The 20,008-nt window shown below is 40.4% G+C and overlaps 1 protein-coding gene across 20 annotated transcripts in view; it reads left to right on the plus strand.

Moving 5' to 3' along the window:
- RYR3 (ryanodine receptor 3) overlaps positions 1 to 20,008 on the plus strand; it is a 555,136-nt gene that overhangs the window by 261,725 nt on the left and 273,403 nt on the right. For all 20 annotated transcript variants that reach the window (XR_001751370.2, XR_001751371.3, NM_001036.6 and 17 more), the window contains 4 exons: positions 7,285 to 7,453; positions 8,817 to 8,952; positions 11,704 to 11,799; positions 13,307 to 13,425. Coding sequence is in view for 18 of the 20 variants with exons in the window: in NM_001036.6 (NP_001027.3) it covers positions 7,285 to 7,453; positions 8,817 to 8,952; positions 11,704 to 11,799; positions 13,307 to 13,425 (520 nt within the window). In the remaining 2 variants the exon portion in view is untranslated. The remainder of the gene's footprint in view (positions 1 to 7,284; positions 7,454 to 8,816; positions 8,953 to 11,703; positions 11,800 to 13,306; positions 13,426 to 20,008) is intronic.

The following is a 20,008-nucleotide window of genomic DNA, read 5'->3' on the forward strand; positions in this document are numbered from 1 at the left end:
GGGCTGGGCACAATGGCTCACGCCTGTAATCCCAGCACTTTGGGAGGCCAAGGTGGGCGAATCACCTGAGGTCGGGGGTTCGAGACCAGCCTGACCAACATGGAGAAACCCCGTCTTTACTAAAAATACAAAAATAGCCGGGCATAGTGGCGCATGCCTGTAATGCCAGCTACTGAGGAGGCTAAGTCATGAGAATCACTTGAACCCAAGAGGTGGAGGTTGCAGTGAGCCAAGATCGTGCCGTTGCACTCCAACCTGGGCAACAACAGCGAAATTCTGTCTCAAAAAATAAATAAAAAATAAAAATAAGATAAAATAAATACTTGATTTTTTGTATGCCTCTAGTCAATTTCCAGAGTCCAGAGATTGTTATTTTGAATGATTTTGCCCAATTTTTTTATTATTTTGTGTGAGAAAAGATTTACTGAGCTCTTTATTCAGCTGTTAAGTCCCACCCTCAAGAGGGAAATTCTTGATTCTTCCAGGCACAGGATATTTTAGAAAAAAAGGACTAATGAAAAAATATCAATGCTGAGGGGGTGTGGGCTGCAAAAGTTACAGTGTTTGGATTTTGTGATAGCTAGGAAGTGAAGGAGAAAAAAACATTTTGAAGTAGATTCTTCTTTCCCATCTCTTTTGAGAAACCAACTTTGTATGCTGTGTGCACACGGAAACCAGGAGGAGGGGTGGCCTTCTGGGAGCACATTAAGGCTAAGGGAATAGGGAAGGAACAAGAAAGAAAAATGAAGACGAAGAGGTTAAAATTTCATCATGCTATCTCATCATCCTCTGTAGAGTTGCTGGGAACTGTCCAGTAGAATGAACAGTGTGATCGATTAAGGAGTCTGAAAAACTCTGCTGAGGAAAAGATACTGTCAGCTGTCCTCTAAGTTTAACCTTAGAAGAGAGACAACAAATAAATCATTATGTTATGATAAATATTCAGAATCACCTGGGACCTCACTTGAATTTAATAAAAGAATTCATTGGCAAAGGCCTAAGAATATAGTGGGACAGGCTATAGGGAGTTGAAGAAGGTGGGAAGGGATAGGTGATAATTGTAGTTGTTTCTGAGTTGAGGCTCTGACTTATCTCTATACATTGGGCTTTACTCTCTGAGGTTCTTCTAGGGTAGAATATGAATGCCATGATGCTTTCCAGAAGTAATGTCTGTTTTCACCATTGTTCCCCATGCCAAGCATGTGATATGTCTTATTTTTTGAGGACAGAATGAATCTGCCTTAGTCTAGTGGAGGACTATAATATTCATGTTTCTTCAAGGGGCAAGATGAAGTAGTCCAGCAGTGAGAACCCAACAGACAGAAAATTAGACCTGAAGTACCCTGGCAATCAAAGAGTGCACCTTTCCTATTTTCCAGGTGCTATATGGAAGCATAAGAGGCTTAGTGGCAACCCAAATATCACACTGATAATGGCAGTGGCAAGGCTGAGACCTGAGATTTCCAACTCCCTGTGTGGTGCATTTGCTGCCTCAGCGAGCTACAAAAATGTCTATAAACCTCTTGCTGTCATCTTTTCCTATCATGTAAAGAATTATTCTTGACCACCCTCGGTGTTTCTAGTAAAATGAAAGTGTTTTTAAAACAAAAAGCAAAACGTAAGCCCTGGAACTGGACCAAAATATTGAGGAAAATGTATTCATTCCTTCACTGAATTCAGAAGTGGGAAGTTCTATCAAATTGAGTTTCATACTGCCGAGCCTTCATCTCATGTACTCATGGCATTCTCTTCCCCACTATTTTTGTGTCTAATAATAGCCCAGGTAGTCATTTGCAAACACTAACTGAGAACTTACAATGTGCCAGGCACTGCTAGGAGTTGAATACACACTGATGTGCCTCCCTGCCTATAAGAAGCTTACAGTCCCCCATTATTCCTTCCCCATTGCATGCACTTGGCATTTTTAATACAAAATTGGAATGATCACCTCACAGCCTGATTGCTTTCAGAACTTTTTGAGTCTTTGGGCCCCGATGAAAATCTTCCCTTAGCATGTATGCAGATTAATATTTAGCAGTTGGTGAATAAGCAAATATACTGTAAATGCCTAGGAGAGCTCATTAGAAATTGGCCATCAAGAAGAAGCCGTGCTAAATGCTCCAATTAAAAGACACAGAATGGCAAGCTGGGTCAGTAGTCAAGACCCATTCATGTGCCGTATTCAAGAGACCCATCTCACATGCAAAGACATGCATAAGCTTGAAATAAAGGCCCGAGGAAAATTTACCAAGCAAATGCAAAGTGGAAAAAAGCAGGGGTTATAATCTTAGTTTCTGACAAGACAGACTTTAAACAAACTAAGATCAAAAAAGACAAAGAAGGGCATTACATAATAATAAAGAGTTCAATTCAACAAGAAGAGCTAACTATCCTAAATATATGTGTACCTAATACAGGGGCACCCAGATCTATAAAACAAGTTCTTAGAGACCTGCAAAGAGACTTAGACTCCCACACAATAATAGTGGGAGACTTTAACTCCCCACTGTCAATATTAGATCATTGAGACAGAAAATTAACAAAGATATTCAGGACCTCAGTATCAGTTCTGGATCAAGTGGACCTGATAAATGTCTACATAACTCTCCACGCAAAAACAACAGAATATACATTCTTCTCAGTGCCACATGACACTTACTCTAAAATCAGTCACATAATTGCAAGTAAAACACTTCTCAGCAAATGCAAAAGAAATGAAATCATAACAGTCTCAGACCACAGCAAAATCAAATTAGAACTCAAGAAACTCGCTCAAAATCACACAACTACATGGGAAGTGAACAACCTGCTCCTGAATGACTCCTGGGTAAATAATGAAATTAAGGCAGAAATCAAGAAGTTCTTTGAAACCAGTAAGAACAAAGAGACAATGTACCAGAATCTCTGGGATGCAGCTAAAGTAGTATTAAGAGGGAAGTTTATAGCACTAAATGCCCACCTCAAAAAGCTAGAAAGATCTCAAATTGACATCCTAACATCACAACTAAAAGAACTGGAGAACCAAGAGCAAACAAACCCAAAAGCTAGCAAAAGACAAGAAATAACCAAGATCAGGGCAGAACTAAAGGAGATAGAGACACAGAAAGCCCTTCAGAGCATCAACAAATACAGGAGCTGGTTTTAAAAAAAAAAAATTAATAAAATAGACTGCTAGCTAGACTAATGAAGAAAAAGAGAAGAATCAAATAGACACAATAAAAAATGATAAAGGGGATATTAGCATTGACCCCACAGAAATTCAAACAACCATCAGAGAATATGATAAACACCTCTATGCAAATAAACTAGAAAATTGAGAAAGAATGGATAAATTCCTGGACATATACACCCTCCCAAGACTGAACCAGGAAGAAATTGAATTCCTGAATAGACCAATGATGAGTTCTGAAATTGAGGCAGTAATAAATAGCCTACCAACCAGAAAAGCCCAGGACAGGATGGACTTAACAGCTGAATTCTACCAGAATTCTACCAGGTACGAAGAGGAGCTGGTACCATTTCTTCTGAAACTGTTTCAAACAATTGAAAAGGAGAGACTCCTCCCGAACTCATTTCATGAGGCCAGAATCATCCTGATACCAAAACCTGGCAGAGATGAACAAAAAGAGAAAACTTCAGGCCAATAACCCTGATGAACATCAATGTGAAAATCTCTATAAAATATTGGCAAACCAAATCCAGCAGCACATCAAAAAGCTTATCTAGCATGATCAAGTTGGCTTCATCCCTGGGATGCAAGGCTGGTTCAACATATGCAAATCAATAAACACAATTCTTCACATAAACAGAACTAAAGACAAAAATCACATGATTATCTTCATAGACATAGAAAAGGTCTTTGATAAAATTCAACATTTCTTCACAGTTAAAACTCAATAAACTAGGTATTGATGGGATATACCTCAAAATAATAAAAGCCATTTATGACAAACCCACAGTCAATATCATACTGAATGAGCAAAAGCTGGAAGCATTCCCCCTTGAAAACCAGCACAAGACAAGGATGTCCTTTCTCACAGCTCCTGTTTAACGTAGTGTTGGAAGTTCAGGCCAGGTCAATCAGGCAAGAGAAAGAAATAAAGGGTATTCACACAGGAAGAGAGGAAGTCAAACTGTCTCTGTTTGCAGATGACATGATCCTGTATCTAGAAAACCCCATCATCTCAATCCAAAAGCTTCTTAAGCTGATAAGCAACTTCAGCAAAGTCTCAGGATACAAAATCAATGTGCAAAAATCACAAGCATTCCTAAACACCAACAGCGAACAAGTGGAGAGCCAAATCATGAATGAATTCCCATTAATACTTGCTACAAAGAGAATAAAATACCTAGGAATACAGCTAACAAGGGAAGTGAAGGACTTCTTCAAGGAGAACTTAAAAAACACTCGTCAAAGAAATTAGAGATGACCGAAACAAATGGAAAACACTCCATGCTCATGGATAGGAAGAATCAATATCATGAAAATGGCCATACTGCCCAAAGTAGTTAATAGATTCAATGCTATTCCCATTAAACTACCATTGACATTCTTCACAGAATTAGAAAAAACTACTTTAAAATTCATGTGGAACCAGAAAAGAACCCATATAACCAAGACAATCCTGAGCAAAAAGAATAAAGACAGAGGCATCACACTACCCAACTTCAAACTATGTTATAAGGCTACAGTAACCAAAACAGCATGATACTGATACAAAAACAAACACATAGACCAATAGAAGAGAATAGAGAACTCAGAAATAAGACCGCACATCTACAACCATCTGATCTTTGACAAACCTGACAAAAACAAGCAATGGGGAAGTGATTCCCTATTTAATAAATGATGCTGGGAGAACTGGCGAGCCATGTGCAGAAAATTGAAACTGGACCCCTTCCTTACACCTTATACAAAAATTAACTCAAGATGGATTAAAGACTTCAATGTAAGACCCAAAACTATAAAAACCCTAGAAGAAAATGTAGGCAATACCATTCAGGACATAGGCATAAGCAAAGATATCATTATAAAAATGTCAAAAGCAAATGCAACAAATGCAAAAATTGACAAATGGGATCCAATTAAACTAAAGAGCTTCTGCACAGCCAAAGAAACTATCATCAGAGTGAACAGACAACCTACAGAATGGGAGAAAATTTTTGCAATCTCTCCATCTGACAAAAGTCTAATATCCAGAATCTACAAGGAACTTAAATTTACAAGAAAAGAAAAACTCATTAAAAAGTGAGCAAAGGATATAAACAGACAGTTCTCAAAAGAAGACATTTATGTGGCCAACAAACATAGGAAGAAAAGCTCAACATCACTGATCACTAGAGAAATGCAAGTCAAAACCACAATGACATACCATCTCATGCTAATCAGAGTGGCAAGTATTAAAAAGTCAAACAACAGATGCTGGCGAGGCTGTGGAGAAATAGGAATGCTTTTAAACTATCGGTAGGAATGTAAATTAGTTCAACCATTATGGAATACAGTGTAGCAATTCCTCAAATACCTAGAGCCAGAAATACCATTTGACCCAGCAATCCCATTACTAGGTATATACCCAAAGGAATATAAATCATTCTGTTATAAAGATACAGGTACACATATGTTCGCTGAAGCTCTAGGCACAATAGCAAAGACGTAGAATCAACCCAAATGCCCATCAGTGATAGACTGGATCAAGAAAATGTGGAACATATACACCATGGAATACTATGCACCCATAAAAAGGAATGAGATCATGTCCTTAGCAGGGACATGGATGGAGCTGGAAGCGATTATCCTCAGCAAACTAATTCGGGAACAGAAAACAAAGCACCACATGTTCTCAGTTATAAGTGGGACCTGAACAATGAGAACACATGGACACAGGGAGGGGAACAACACACACTATGGCCTGTCGAGGGGTGGGGGGTAGGAGGAGGCAGAGCATCAGGAAAAATAGCTAATGCATGCCGGGCCTAATACTTAGGTCAGGGGTTGTTAGGTGCAGCAAACCACCGTGGCACACGTCTGTGTAACAAACCTGCACATCCTGCACATGTATCCCAGAACTTAGAATAAAAAAAAAAAAACAACAACAAAAAAAAACTCCTCGTGATGTTACTTGCACATTGAGCCAATTCTCAATCACTCAGGGCCTTATGATGCAAACCCACAAGAGATAGGTCCATTTCCCCTTCCTCTTCATAGCCTTTGCCCTCTGAGAGGCTCCCAGGTGTACTCCTCAAGGAGATGGGGAAATGAAGGGTCATTTTGTTATCTGTGGTGCTTTGTATTCTCTCTGTGTTGAAGGGGTTTAATTACAAAAAATTGGCAGAGATTAAAACAGAAAAAGAGACAGAGAAACTTGCGGAATAGGAGGAACACAACAGGGAGAGAGAGATGGAAGGGCAGGTAACATGGGGTTGGGGAACACCAAGAAACAAAGAGGGACAGACCTCAAGGCAGAGAAGAAGGATGTTTGAGAGATAGGGGACACTGAGAAAGGAGGGTGATATTCAGAGAGGGAACACAGGGTGAGGAAAGTCAGATGAAAGGACCACAGATACAGAAAGTAAAGGAACCATCAACAAATGGAGTGAAGGAAAGCAGGCATGTACACAGAGAAACGTGATGAGAAAAACACATGCAGAGATCTCAGAAGACACATAGAGACGTGGAGGGGGGTGCAAGAGGAGAGACAAAATTAACATGGAGATAGAGGCAAAGACCCAGTGATAGAAATCCTTCCACCTTAGGATTAATCAATGCCAAGAAGGTGTGATTGTTTAAAAGAATCATGGGTTAAGAAGTTTATTTTTTCTAAATGTTTTTATTTTAAAAAAAAATGTGTGACAGACAACCAGGGGTAAATGGAAGGGGAAGCATCTGCTATAGATAGAAGAGTCACTGTCAAAATCACAGTTGAAATTACCTCTTTAGATTACAGGGAAATCATGGTTAGACATTCAGTGAATACCCATTGACGCTATGTGCTGAAATATTACAGTAATATTAACAGGATGAGTTATAAGTTGCTTGAAAATAAATGTGCTAAAAGGAGTCACTTCCCTTTGTTTATGAAAATAGCTTTAAACTTGAATGTGAATATTTCCTTCTGTTGCTCTGATATCTGGGAAACTTCATTTTGTAGCTGCTGGTACAGTGGCCGCCCAAGGAAGCAACTCATGGTGCACCGTGGGGGGCTGTTAGGAGTGGGACCCAGTGGGTGTTCATCAGGGCCCTGCTGCTGGCCAGTGCCTAAACCATGTCAATCTCATGGTTTTTAGCGGAAACAATCGCACAGCTGCCCCCATCACCCTGCCTATAGAAGAAGTCCTGCAGACCCTACAGGACTTGATCGCCTACTTCCAGCCCCCAGAGGAGGAGATGCGACATGAAGACAAGCAGAACAAGCTCCGCTCACTCAAAAACAGACAAAATCTTTTCAAGGAAGAGGTAAGTCGAAAAATGAAAAGTTGAAATTCACTTAGTGTCCAGAGCTAGAATATCCCTGTGACTACAACTTAGCTTTGTCTTTCTGCATGCACGTGTTTATGAGAGAGCCAGAGGACAAGAGAGATTTGGAAGCTGGGAAATTGGAAGCCAACCTTCCCTGTCCACCAAACCTGGTTACATTAGCAATGGCTGGCACGTTCAAACCAGATTACATTTTAAAGCTTCAGTGCCACATGTGTATCAAATATACATTTTCAGTAAATTTCAGCTGTGAGAGCATGACATTGGCTGTGATTCCCAAGTTTTGGGAAACGTTAGAATTACCTGGGAAACCTGTTTGAAAAATGCAGATGCCTGGATTCTACCACATTGAGAATACCTGAGAAGCTGGTTTAAAAGACACAGAAGACGCTGTCTTATGTCAGAATTGAGCATCTGAGTCACTGGGAGTGGGGCCTGACCATGAGGAAAATATCAGCTTGGGGCTTAAGACACCCAGGACCTCATTCTGGTTCCATCTCCAGCTGTGTGTGACCACAGACAAGCCACAAGCCTTTTCCAGACTCGGAGATGTGATGATTTAGTGCCAACAGGCCATGGTTGTACTTCTGGGCCTGCCATGCCTGGGCACAGGGCTTGTCCCTTGGGCATTTCCAAAGTTAGTGGTGTGGGATGTAAACCATCCCAGCTCAGTCTTCTGATCTAACCAGACTTTGGCCTCAGGGGCATTCTCTATGACTTAAAGGCTACTGAAATTCCATTTACCATCTCCCTCCCATGCGCTAAGAACAGCTAGCACAGATTTTTACTGGGTGGCATAGTATTTCAAATTAGCTAGAAAAGTGGTTGAAGATCCTCTTGTACTGCTATTGTCTCTAAATCCCCTTTTTTTGCAGGGGGCCGGGGGGGTGGGGAGGTAGGAAGCAAGCATGGCTGTTTTGTGCATCTGAATGGAACTTGAACTTACTTGATATTTAAGAGAAAAATAGGTACTATATCCAGAGCTGTTTCTGGGTGAGTCAGAACCACTTCACACCAGACTGAAAGCAGGTTTTTGTGAAACTCATTCACCCTCCCTCTTCCTAAGTATGTCCTTGGATTGAGTTAAGCACGTGGGGGCAACCCGTCAGAGGAGGCTGCTGACTCACTCTCCAAATGGATGCTATTTAGGTCTCTCAGGCATAAAAATACATATTTTGTTTTTAGGAGGGAAAAAAAACAAACCCAACTGGCACCATGAAGGTCTATTTGCATATTGGCATTTTCAGCTTTAAAAGGTGAATGATACAGGAGGGGAAAGAGCATAAGGGACTGTGCTTTCTTAATCAGCAATGTTTACATTTTCCTCCACTCTCCTTCTCAGGGAATGTTGGCCCTTGTCTTAAATTGCATTGACCGCTTAAATGTCTACAATAGCGTAGCACACTTTGCAGGGATTGCAAGGGAAGAGAGTGGCATGGCCTGGAAAGAAATTCTGAACCTCCTCTACAAATTGCTGGGTAAGTACACATACAGTGCCTTCTCCCTGGGATGATTTCCATGGGATTTCCACGTGCAATCCCAAGATTGTCTTTAACTTGCCATTAACCCTGTGATACTTGGACTGCCTCATTCCTTAGAAGTCTTTTGTTAACCATTCAATTTTAACCCAGCTGTTCATTCTGTTAACTAGTAGCAGCCAGTGGAAGCAGATGATAATCAGTTTCCCTGTAACTACCTGGGAAACTGTTTGACAGACACCTACACTCCCTCAACCTCTATTCCTTACCTTTCATGAGGAAACGAGACTAGAACACATTTATGATGTCTTCCAGTTTTAAACTTCTGCAAAGATATCACCTGTACTTTAAGAATTGTTATTCTTTTAAATCTGTGCCCTCTCACTTGTCCACTTGTTAGTCATGATTCTCACTGCTTTGGCCTGTAATTTATTTCATTTTGGTGAAAAGAAAAAGGTGGGAAGTAAGAATATTCCAGCAACAAGCTTATCTTCTCACAATATGGAGTGTGTAGTGAAGTTCTGATGCCTGCTACAACAGGTTCCATCCAATAGGCCTAGGCCACCCGCCTATGGGTGGGAGGCAGAGAGAAGACAGTATGAGCCTGTGCAAGAAGGCGGCCACCAGGAGTTGCTCAGACACTGTGATAAGCTAGTACTTTAGGGCTTTGCTCTGAAGTGTGTGTCCCACTGAGAGGAAATCTATCATAGAAAGTTCACTAGGCCAGAATGGAGCCCAGAGAAATCAGTCCGGACCTATTCCCCAGCTTAGGGTTGAGGCTGATTGGATTACCACAGTACTGATCAATTGCCACTGTATGACCCTGTAAAGTGTCTTCAAACTCTAGTGTTTTGTATTGACCCAGTAGGCATGATTTTAACAATAATACCTAACAATTATTGATCTCTTTGTGAGCGGTGAAATATCGCTTTTGAACTCCAGAGCAACACTTTAAGGGTCAGTTATTATTATTACTGTCATTTCACTGATGATGAAACTGACGTACATAGATGCTCATAACCCAAGGTTACACATCTAGTAACTGATGGAGCTATGGCTTGAGACCCAGCAGTCTAACTCCAGGACTCTTATGCTTAACTTCCTTGCTGCAACTGATCTGAAAAGGAGGTTAGGAGCTCAGACTTGAATTGTGTCCTTTACTGACTGAAGATGCAAAGCTGAGGCCCTAGAGGAGGCCTTTCTTTATCCTAAATTTGCCATGTATCAGCCTCAGTGAAATTCCAATTCAAACCTATCATGTGAAGGGCAAGCTACTTGGGGGCGAATCAATTTACATGGACTTGTTCCAGATTTGCGTCTACTCTTTTTGCCCTGTGGAGAGAAGGTTATTTGGTGTAGATTGGTAAAACTCAAATGACAGCATATTTTCTCCCTCTCTCTGCAGTATCATCTGCCAGTGGCTTTCAAGTAGGAACAGACATCAGGATCAGCTGGAGAGCTGGTTACAATACAGATGCCGAGGCCCACCCCCAGAGTTTCTAAATCAGTAAAGCTGGATGAGGCCTGAGAATTTGAGTTTTTAACAAATTCTTAGGTGATGCTGATCCAGGGACCATGACTCAAGAACCACTGTCAAATAGGGATATATTTTAGATATTTTATAGTTACATGTTGCTATTATTCATCCATTAGTGTATAGCCAACCTTTCCAGCTGTGTTCACTGGGATGCCTTCCTTTAGCGCTGAAGATTAATAAATCTGTAGCTAAATTTAAGAAAACATTGCAAGAAGTTGAGTTCTTAAGTCAGTAACCAAGCCAATATTAAATTCTTGCTTATCACTATCTGAAGTAATTTCATTACCTTATGCATTTATTGTCTCCATTGCCTACTTGATGAAGGCAGGGAATCTCCCTCCCTTTCTCATTGCTCTAGTCTGAACAACTGGACCGGTGTTTGGTACATAGCAGACTCTCTGGAAATACTTGTAAAGTGAGTCAATACTAGATTTTTATTTTTCTAAGTATAGAAAGAGGTTGGGTGTGGTGGTTCACACCTGTAATCCCACCAGTTTGGGAGGCTGAGGTGAGGAGGATCAATTGACGCCAAGAGTTCAAGACCAGCTTGGGCAACATAGTGAGACCCCATCTCAATAAAAAATATTTACGCCAGGCATGGTAGCTCGCTCCTGTAATCCCAGCACTTTGGGAGGCTGAGGCAGGTGGATCACTTGAGGTCAGGAGTTCGAGACCAGCCTGGCCAACATGGTGAAGCCCTGTCTCTACTAAAAATACAAAAATTAGCTGGGTGTGGTGGTGCATGCCTGTAATCCCAGCTACTTGGGAGGCTGAGGCAGGAGAATCACTTGAACCCAGGAGGTGGAGGTTGCAGTGAGCCGAGATTGCACCACTGTACTCCAGCCTGGGCAACAAGAGTGAAAACTCCATCTCAAAAAACAAACAAACAAACAAAAAAAACTTAAAAATTAGCTGGGCATGGTGGTGCATGCCTGTAGTCTCAGCTACTCTGGAGGCTGAGGCGAGAGGATCACTTAAGCCCAGGAGTTTGAGGCTGCAATGAGCCACTACACTCCAGCCTGGGTGACTGGGTGAGACTGTCACTTAAAAAAAGAAAAAAAAAGAAAGAATTGTGTCAAAGGGCTAGATAGGGTGAGATTGGCATTCAGTTCCTTTTAGTTGCTAAGCAAGTGAAATATTCGACAGCTTTCCAAGTTCTCACGCCCATCATTATATCCTTTAACCTCTATGATCAAACATCTCCTTGTTTGCAGCTGCTCTCATTCGCGGAAACAGAAACAATTGCGCTCAATTCTCCAATAACCTTGATTGGCTCATCAGTAAATTGGACAGACTAGAATCTTCCTCAGGTGAGAATTGACAGGAAACTATAACTAGAAAAGATGAAGGGTTTTTTTTTTCTTTCTGTAAAAAAAGAAAACAAAGTTGAATCTTTTCCAATGGATTGCAAACAATCCTCAAATCATACTTCAAAATTAAAAAGAAATAGTCTTCAAGCTTCCTGGCACCTGTACGACTTTATTTAACAACTCTAACCCAGACTTCAACAATCCTTCCTTTTTAAATTTTTTACTCTGTGCCTTCATTGTTATTCCGTGCCTTCATTTTTAATCCTCGGGTCCATTAATCACCCCCCACCCCCACCTCACCCACCCAGTGATCCTGGTCTCCTTCTAACTCCCATTATATTCTTATTCTCTGGGTTTTTAAACCCTTTTCAATGGTGCCCAAACTATTTCTTACGGTCTAAAAGCGGGAGTGAAGAATGACAGGGATGAGAGGAAAAATGATCCCCACTCACCCTCTCTCCCGTGACTCACCCTTCACATCATATCTATAGTCCTCCCTCATGACTTACGGAGAATCTGAGCCAAGAGTGTGGTCATCATTGGGAAGTGACCATGCTGCAGGGCTTAGCAGTTTGCTTCCTCCGAGATGAGTAAACATGGCAGGTATACGCCCCTCAAGGGGAAGCTGAAGGGTTTTGATGCTTTTCTCGCAGTGTAGAAATGACAGGTGCTTTAACAGACCGGCCAAGAGAGGTTCCCCCAAGGATCATCCACCTACACACGTCTTCCTAAGCCTCTTTTTTCTTCAGTGCCTCGGTCTCATGGGCTAGATTACATTTCAGGCTAACTTATGAAAACATTGAGAAAAAAACAGAATCAAAAGAAATTTTCCTAATAAAACTAATTAAGCTATTAGCCAGCTACTTCCCTTGAATTTCAATCATGATATTACCGTGTATGTGCCAGGCTGCAGAGGCACTAGTTTTTCTTAAGCCTTCACTTATATAACCTATCCAGTGTGCCAAAAAAAAGGGGGAAAAGCCAAATAGACTTTATTGTGTGAGCTTACAATTTGTTTGATACATGAGTAGACCTAAAATAAAAATAATTTCTAGGGTAGTTCCTAGAAAAATTCTTATTTGGGAGAAACTCAGAATATTTTCCAAATTACTTGAATGACCTTTAGAATTTATAGTAAACTGGACGTCTTCTCTTGTATCTATTTTTAAATGAAGTATTATGTGGTTTGATCAAATGAAAAATTTTATTTTATAGCTGCTTCTCTGTATTTTGACACACAAAGATCATGTCTTTGTCCAGGAAGCGGGAGATAGGGTTTGTGCCGAATTAAAATCACCAGTAAATTACAGACTGGTTGGCCCCCAGGGGGCTCTGAAGTCTACCGGAAATGATGCATTTTTTTTCTGGCTGGAAAGATTTGATAGATTCAAAGAATTGACGATATCCTGTCCCCTCAGGAAGGACTGTTCATACTCAGGTTTCTAAATTGTGGTCACTTCTGCAGGGCATTTAATGTCCAAATTTGATGTTTGTGGCATTCATGTAGGTATCTTGGAAGTTTTGCACTGCATCTTAACTGAAAGCCCAGAAGCCTTAAATCTGATAGCGGAGGGCCACATCAAGTCGATCATCTCCCTGTTGGATAAGCACGGGCGGAATCACAAGGTAGGTGTGGAAAGAACGGTGATTGACTTTGCCTGGTGTTTCCCTCCCCAATGTTCATGACCATTGTGTTTTACTGAGAGCATGTTGATTAGTCTTTCTTGACTTTGATAAAAATCTTGGGAAACTGGAAAAAAGACTTTCCCCGCATACAAGCACTCTCCAAGCTGGGCAGCCACACTGGACTTCGGATGGTGCCGTGGGTTTCCAACAGCTCCCCAGTCGCTGCTCATTATCATTAACCCTTAACACCAGCTCACTGTGGGACACTCAGTAGGCCCTGTCTGCACATGGCCAACCGTATGGGACTGGCTTTCACCCTAGGATCCAGGAACTTCGTAGTGAAACAGCTTATAACAAGCTGTATAGAAAAGGTATGAAGAAATCAGATTTAAAACAGTGTAGAAAGTCTTAGCAACATGGTTTGTTATTAAACAAAATCAGATTTACTATGAGTGAAACCAAATGAAGTAAATGAATCTGTGCGTGTGCAAGCAGAACTGAAGCCACTGGTCCTTCCCTTTTATACAACGCAGCTATATGAGCTGGGGCCTCAGTTATGTCATCTGTAAAATGGTGACAAGGGCATCTCACTAAGTGGAATGCTATATCATTTTTTTGAGATCTCTTATAGTTCTAACATCTCTATTTTTATGAAGTTATATCTCTAAAACACAGTGATCTGTGGGGAAAGTCTACTAAAATATGGGGAGTTTTTTTTCCTGACCCTTCAACATCTGCACACACGGGGACTATCGTGCTAATTAGTGGCCAGACGCGATATTCAACGGCTCAGGAGGTGTATTTCAGAGCAGATGGCATGATGGGACATGTGGGACTGCAGCTGTGCTTCTACAGAGTGGGGAGAAGCAGGCTTCGTCACTGGCAGTCTCTGCTTGTCATCATCTGGGGGGACTGCGTATTTGAGACAGCTCAGTGTGTCCGGGAGATTGAGACTCGGCAGCATAGACTGTATGACATGCATCAGCCGTGGGCAGCAGAAAGCCATGGTCCTTAGCATGTGGGAAATTGTTTGACAAATAATAAAAAGAAATACATGGGATCTGAAATCGCTTTTCCAAATGCAGCAAATCAAAGGCAAACATGAAGCTTCCGCTTCAGTCCAGATTCTCTGCGTTCCAACATGTTCCTTCCTGTCTGCGAAGTGTAATGAGAATAATCAATAGGCACCTGAGCAACACGTGCTAGGAGCCACGGGCTATGTGCAAATGTCAGAGAAGCCTTTTGACAGGAAAGCTGCTCTCGTCTCATTGCCCCAGAGGTTTCTTTATTATTAGAACACATAGTGTACTTAATAAATAACCAACTTTGTTGTGGCTTCTTTCAGCCAAAAGCCACAAAGCATTTGATGCATGTCACTTGGTGGCAAGTTGATTACTATTCTACCCATTCCACAGTTGAGAAAACTGAGGCCCACCAAGCTGAAGTATTTTGCTAGAAATCAATGCCTGATCTGATATGTTATCAGAGTAGCCTTTAATCTTCTAGAACCAAGACATTGTTAGAGAAATTCTGGTAATGTAAAAGTTGAAGCAATGTGATCTTGGTACATAAGAGTCTTTTCAAAGACGTTCCTTTTCCATCTTTGGATAGATTTTTGGGTAAAGGTTTGTCATGAATTCAGATCCTTCCTTAGGTACTATTCCATTGGATAGCTTTCATTTTCAAAGAGAAAAAACAGGTTCAAACCATCACTAATGTATTTGTGGTCATTTTGCAAAGAATGTGCTGAGTGGAGGCCAGACTTCCATTGCAACACTTCATCTTTGCTTGGAAAATGCCAAGGTCATGTTTTTCTCTCCAGGCTGCATTGTTGTCTCCAGTCCTAGAATTTCAGGAGTCTCTGACTAATCCACTTAGTTTTCGGTGAAGACAATGACTCAAAATATGCAGAATTTTAAAGCCACAAGGGACCTCAGAAGTCTTCCCACAAGAGCAACAACAGTAATGATAACCAGCATTTATTTTGCACTTAACAAATGCCAGTTATTGCTGTCAGTGTTCATGTGTATCTTATTCAGTTCTCATTACGACCTTATGACATAGCATCATTATTATTTGTACATGACAGTGGCAGAAAGAAGGCCGGAGCCTGGGTCCTTAGACGTTAAGCAGTTTCCCAGGAGCCACACAGCTAATTAATGACAGACTAGGAGCAGAAGTTGAATATTCTTTCCAGTGTTTCTCAAGCTGCAGCCTGTGAACATGTTCTTTAGAATCCAAATGCTCTGTGAGAATATATTTAATTTTGTGATTTTAGTTTTATAATTATCTAAATACAAAACTTTTGCAGTGAAAAATTCACCCTAGAAAGCATTTCCTTTGCTTTTTTTATTTATAAAAAAATAAGGGGTACAAGTGCAATTTTGTTACCTGGATATATTGTGTAGTGCTGATGTCTGGGTTTTTATTGTAACCCCAACCCAAATAATGTACATTGTACTCATTAAGCAATTTCTCATCATTTACCCCCTCCCACACTTCCAAGTTGCCAACACCTATCACTCCACTCTCTATGTCCGCATCTCCACATTATTTAGCTCCCACTTATAAGTGAGAATATGCAGTATTTGACATTCTGTATTTGAATTATTTCACTTAAAATTATAGCTTCCAGTTCCATCTATGTTGCTGCAAAAATCTGATTTCATTCTTTTTTTATGACTGAACAGTATTCCATTGTGTGTGTGTGTGTATATAAACCACATTTTCTAATCTTCCATTGATGGATATGTACGTTCGTTCCATGTCTTTGCTATTGTGAATAGGGCTGTGATAAACATACAAATGCAGATATCTTTTTGATATAGCAATTTATTTTCCTTTGGGTAGATACCCAGTAGTGGGATTGCTGGATCAAAAATGGTAGATCTATTTTTAGTTCTTTGAGAAATCTCCATACTGTTATCCATAGGGGTTGTACTAATTTACATTCCTACCAACGTGTATAAGCATTCCCTTTTCTCTGTATCCTCACCGACATTTATTATGTTTTAATCTTTTCAATAATGGCCATCCTGACTAGTGTTAAGATGACATCTCATAGTGGTTTTAGTTTGCACTTCGCTGATGATTAGTGACGCTGAGCATTTTTTCATATGCTTGTTGGCCATTCGTGTGTCTTCGTTTGAAAAATGTCCATGTCCTTTGCTCACTTTTTAATGGGATTATTTGTTTTGTGTTGTTGTTGAGTTGTTTGAGTTCCCTGTAAATTCTGGGTATTAGTCCTTTGTTGGATGCATAGTTGGCAGATATTTTCTCCTATTCTATAGGTTTTCTGTTCACTCTATTGATTATTTATTTTGCTTTGCAGAGCTTTTTAATTTAATTAAGTCCCATTTATCTATTTTTTGTTTTTGTTGCTTGTGCTTCTGACGTCTTAGTCATAAATTCTTTGCCTAGACCAGTGTCCAGAAGAATTTTCCCTAGATTTACTTCTAGGATTTTCATAGTTTCAGGTCTTACACTTAAGTCTTTAACTATATCTTGAGTTGATTTTTGTATTTAGTGAAAGAGAGGGATCCCATTTTCATTCTTCTGCATATGGCAATCCAAAGTTGCCAGCACTGTTTGTTGAAAAGGGTGTCCTTTCCATGGTGTATGTTCTTGTTGACTTTGTCAGAAATCAGTTGGCTATAGCTATGTGGCTTTATTTCTAAGTTCTCTATTCTGTTCCATTGATCCATGTGTCTATTTTTATACCAGTACCATGCTATTTTGCTTACTATAGCCTTGTAGTATAATTTGAGGTCAAGTAATTGTGTCATGTGTGTCCGTGTGAAGAGACCACCAAACAGGCTTTGTGTGAGCAACAAAGCTGTTGATTTCACCTGGGTGCAGGTGGGCTAAGTTCGAAAAGAGAGTCAGTGAAGAGAGATAGGGGTGGGGCCATTTTATAGGATTTGGGTGGGTAGTGGAAAATTACAGTCAAAGGGGGTTGTTCTCTTGTGGGCAGGGGCGGGGGTCACAAGGTGCTCCGTGGGGGAGCTTCTGAGCTAGGAGAAGGAATTTCACAAGGTTAATCTCTCAGTTAAGGTGGGGCAGGAACAAATCACAATGGTGGAATGTCATCGGTTAAGGCAGGAACCGGCCATTTTCACTTCTTTTGTGATTCTTCACTTGCTTCAGGCCATCTGGACATATACGTGCAGGTCTCAGGGGATACGTTGGCTTAGCTTGGGCTCAGAGGCCTGAAGGTAATGTGGTGCCTCCAGCTTTGTTATTTTTGCTCAGGATTGTCTGGGCTACTCAGGTTCTTTTTTGGTTACATATGAATTTTAGGATTGTTTTTTCTAATTCTGTGAATGACACTGGTATTTTGATAGGGATTGTATTGAATCTATAGATTTCTTTGGGCAGTATGGTCATTTCAAAGATATTCATTCTTCTTCTGATCCATGAGCATGGGATGTTTTTCCATTTTGTGTCATCTGCAATTTCTTTCATCAGTGTTTCGTAATTTTTTTTAGAGGTCTTTCACCTCCTTGGTTAAATATTTTCATAGGGTTTTTTTTTTTGGCAGCTATTGTAAATGGGATTGCCTCGAAGGCATTTTCATATAATAAGTTAGTGTTTCGCAGACTGGAATTGGAGAGCTCCTATGGGTTCATGAAGGTAGCCTTCAGGATATGACATTTTTCCTTTAAATATAATTTTACATCTCATAGGTTTGAGATGTAAAAATTCTTCCTGTACCTTGCCACTTCCAATCATATGCTTAGAATTGAGACTACATATAATGGTAGCAATTATTATACCTTTACTTCTTTGCTAAAATATTTAAGTTGTTAGCTTTGTCCCTTTCATGGAAATAACTGCCACTCATCAAAAGCATGATCAGATTTGAGGTCAAAAAGTTATAGGGGAAGAACACAGTCTTTGGAGTGAAAAAGACAGGAGTGTGTTGCAGTGCCCACTCCATATTTTCTGAATGCACTTTACCCTTTGACCTCTCAATGATTTCACTCTTGTGGATCCTTCAATAGCTCCTCACTTCCTACTTTTCCAGGACTCATCAAAATTCTTCTCTGGTCAATTAAAAAATCAATGAAAAATTCTTGTCTGCTCTTTAAAACTTAGTTCAAACGCCACTTCCTCCATGAATCTTTTTCTGATTCCAGTTGGAATTGGTCTCCTCTCTTATGATTTGTTCTCTGCTGTAATAATTGTTCCAATCTGCCTTCTATTATAGTTATTTTTTCACATCTATTTCTCTTACATCTGTAAGTTCCTCTGTGGTAGGGACTGTCTTTGTAATCCTCATAGCGCCAAGCTAAGATGTTGTACATGGCAAGCATTCATACATGTTTGTTGAAGGTTTAATAAATGAATAAAAGGAACAAATGAGTGAGCCAGAATCTACTCCTGTCTCACCTTGAACTAATAACACACTATGTTAGTAGCACTGATTGTGTTATTTGGTAAAAAGAATAACTGATGAAAATTCTAACAGTCACTGTAGTTTTTCCAGAGTAAGATTCTGCTAATATAAATAATGTATGCATTTTCTACTTGCCCCTGAAGCTGCCTTACTCCAAACCTGCTCAAAGTTGCCATAGATAAATATTTTTTATTATCTTCTTTGTTTTGCAAGGATTTGGGTCTACCTTTGAGAAAAATATATGATAAAATAGTAATATCATTGATTCTCAGAAAGTATAAATCAGGAATCAAAGGTTTAGCCTGGAGGGGCTGAATAGCAGCCATTTCTCAAATATAGGACTTGACATAAAAATCTCAGAAAAAATATAGTTAGCATTTGTTTGATCAGACTGCTTTTACAGATGAAAGCTGTGACAAAAATGCAGCAGCCAAACAGTGTTTCCGTAGGTATTTATCTTCAAAGTATAATTCCCATATAAGCTTGTGTTTGGGATAGACAGTAATAGAGATAAAAAGCAAAATGAGAGGCTCTCTAATGAAATGTGGTATCAGTGATGAGAATGAAAACCAGAAACAAATGAACCCCACAAATGGGCCATTGATTAGGGAGGCCTAACTCCTGTGACACACAACCCCGTATTGTCAGTGGCTTAGCGTAGTCAAAATTTATTTTTTCTCATATGACTCTCCAAGGCCAGTGGGAGGGCTTGATAGAGTGTGGTTATTGGCTTCACCATCCCCTAAGGGCAGAGCCTCACAGACAATAAGGTATTTACAAGTCTCCTGGGGATCATGTTAACATGAGGGCTCTGATTCAGTAATTTCGGAGTGGGACTTGGGGCTAAGCATCTGTATTTCTAGAATGGTAGCACTATTGCTGATGAACTAGATGGTACCAGTGCTGCACTTCTGGGGATCACACTTGAAATAAGGAGATCTTTGGGCTTTGGAATCCCTTGTTGGATATCTGTATCCAGTGGAAGGAAGGTAAGGATGGTGGGGCCCACTCCTGGGGGCCACCCACTTCCGATTGGCCAGAATTTAGTCCCCTATACCTGCAAGTGAAGGGTGGGAAATAAAGCCTTTGTATGTTCAGAAGGAGAAGAAAATGGAGTCTGGTGAATACTCAGCAATACCTGCCTCTCCAGCCAGGTATTCCAGTGGTCACCAAGATACCCCCTGT

This window comes from Homo sapiens, chromosome 15, assembly GCF_000001405.40.
Source record: "Homo sapiens chromosome 15, GRCh38.p14 Primary Assembly".
NCBI classification, from domain to species: domain Eukaryota; kingdom Metazoa; phylum Chordata; class Mammalia; order Primates; family Hominidae; genus Homo; species Homo sapiens.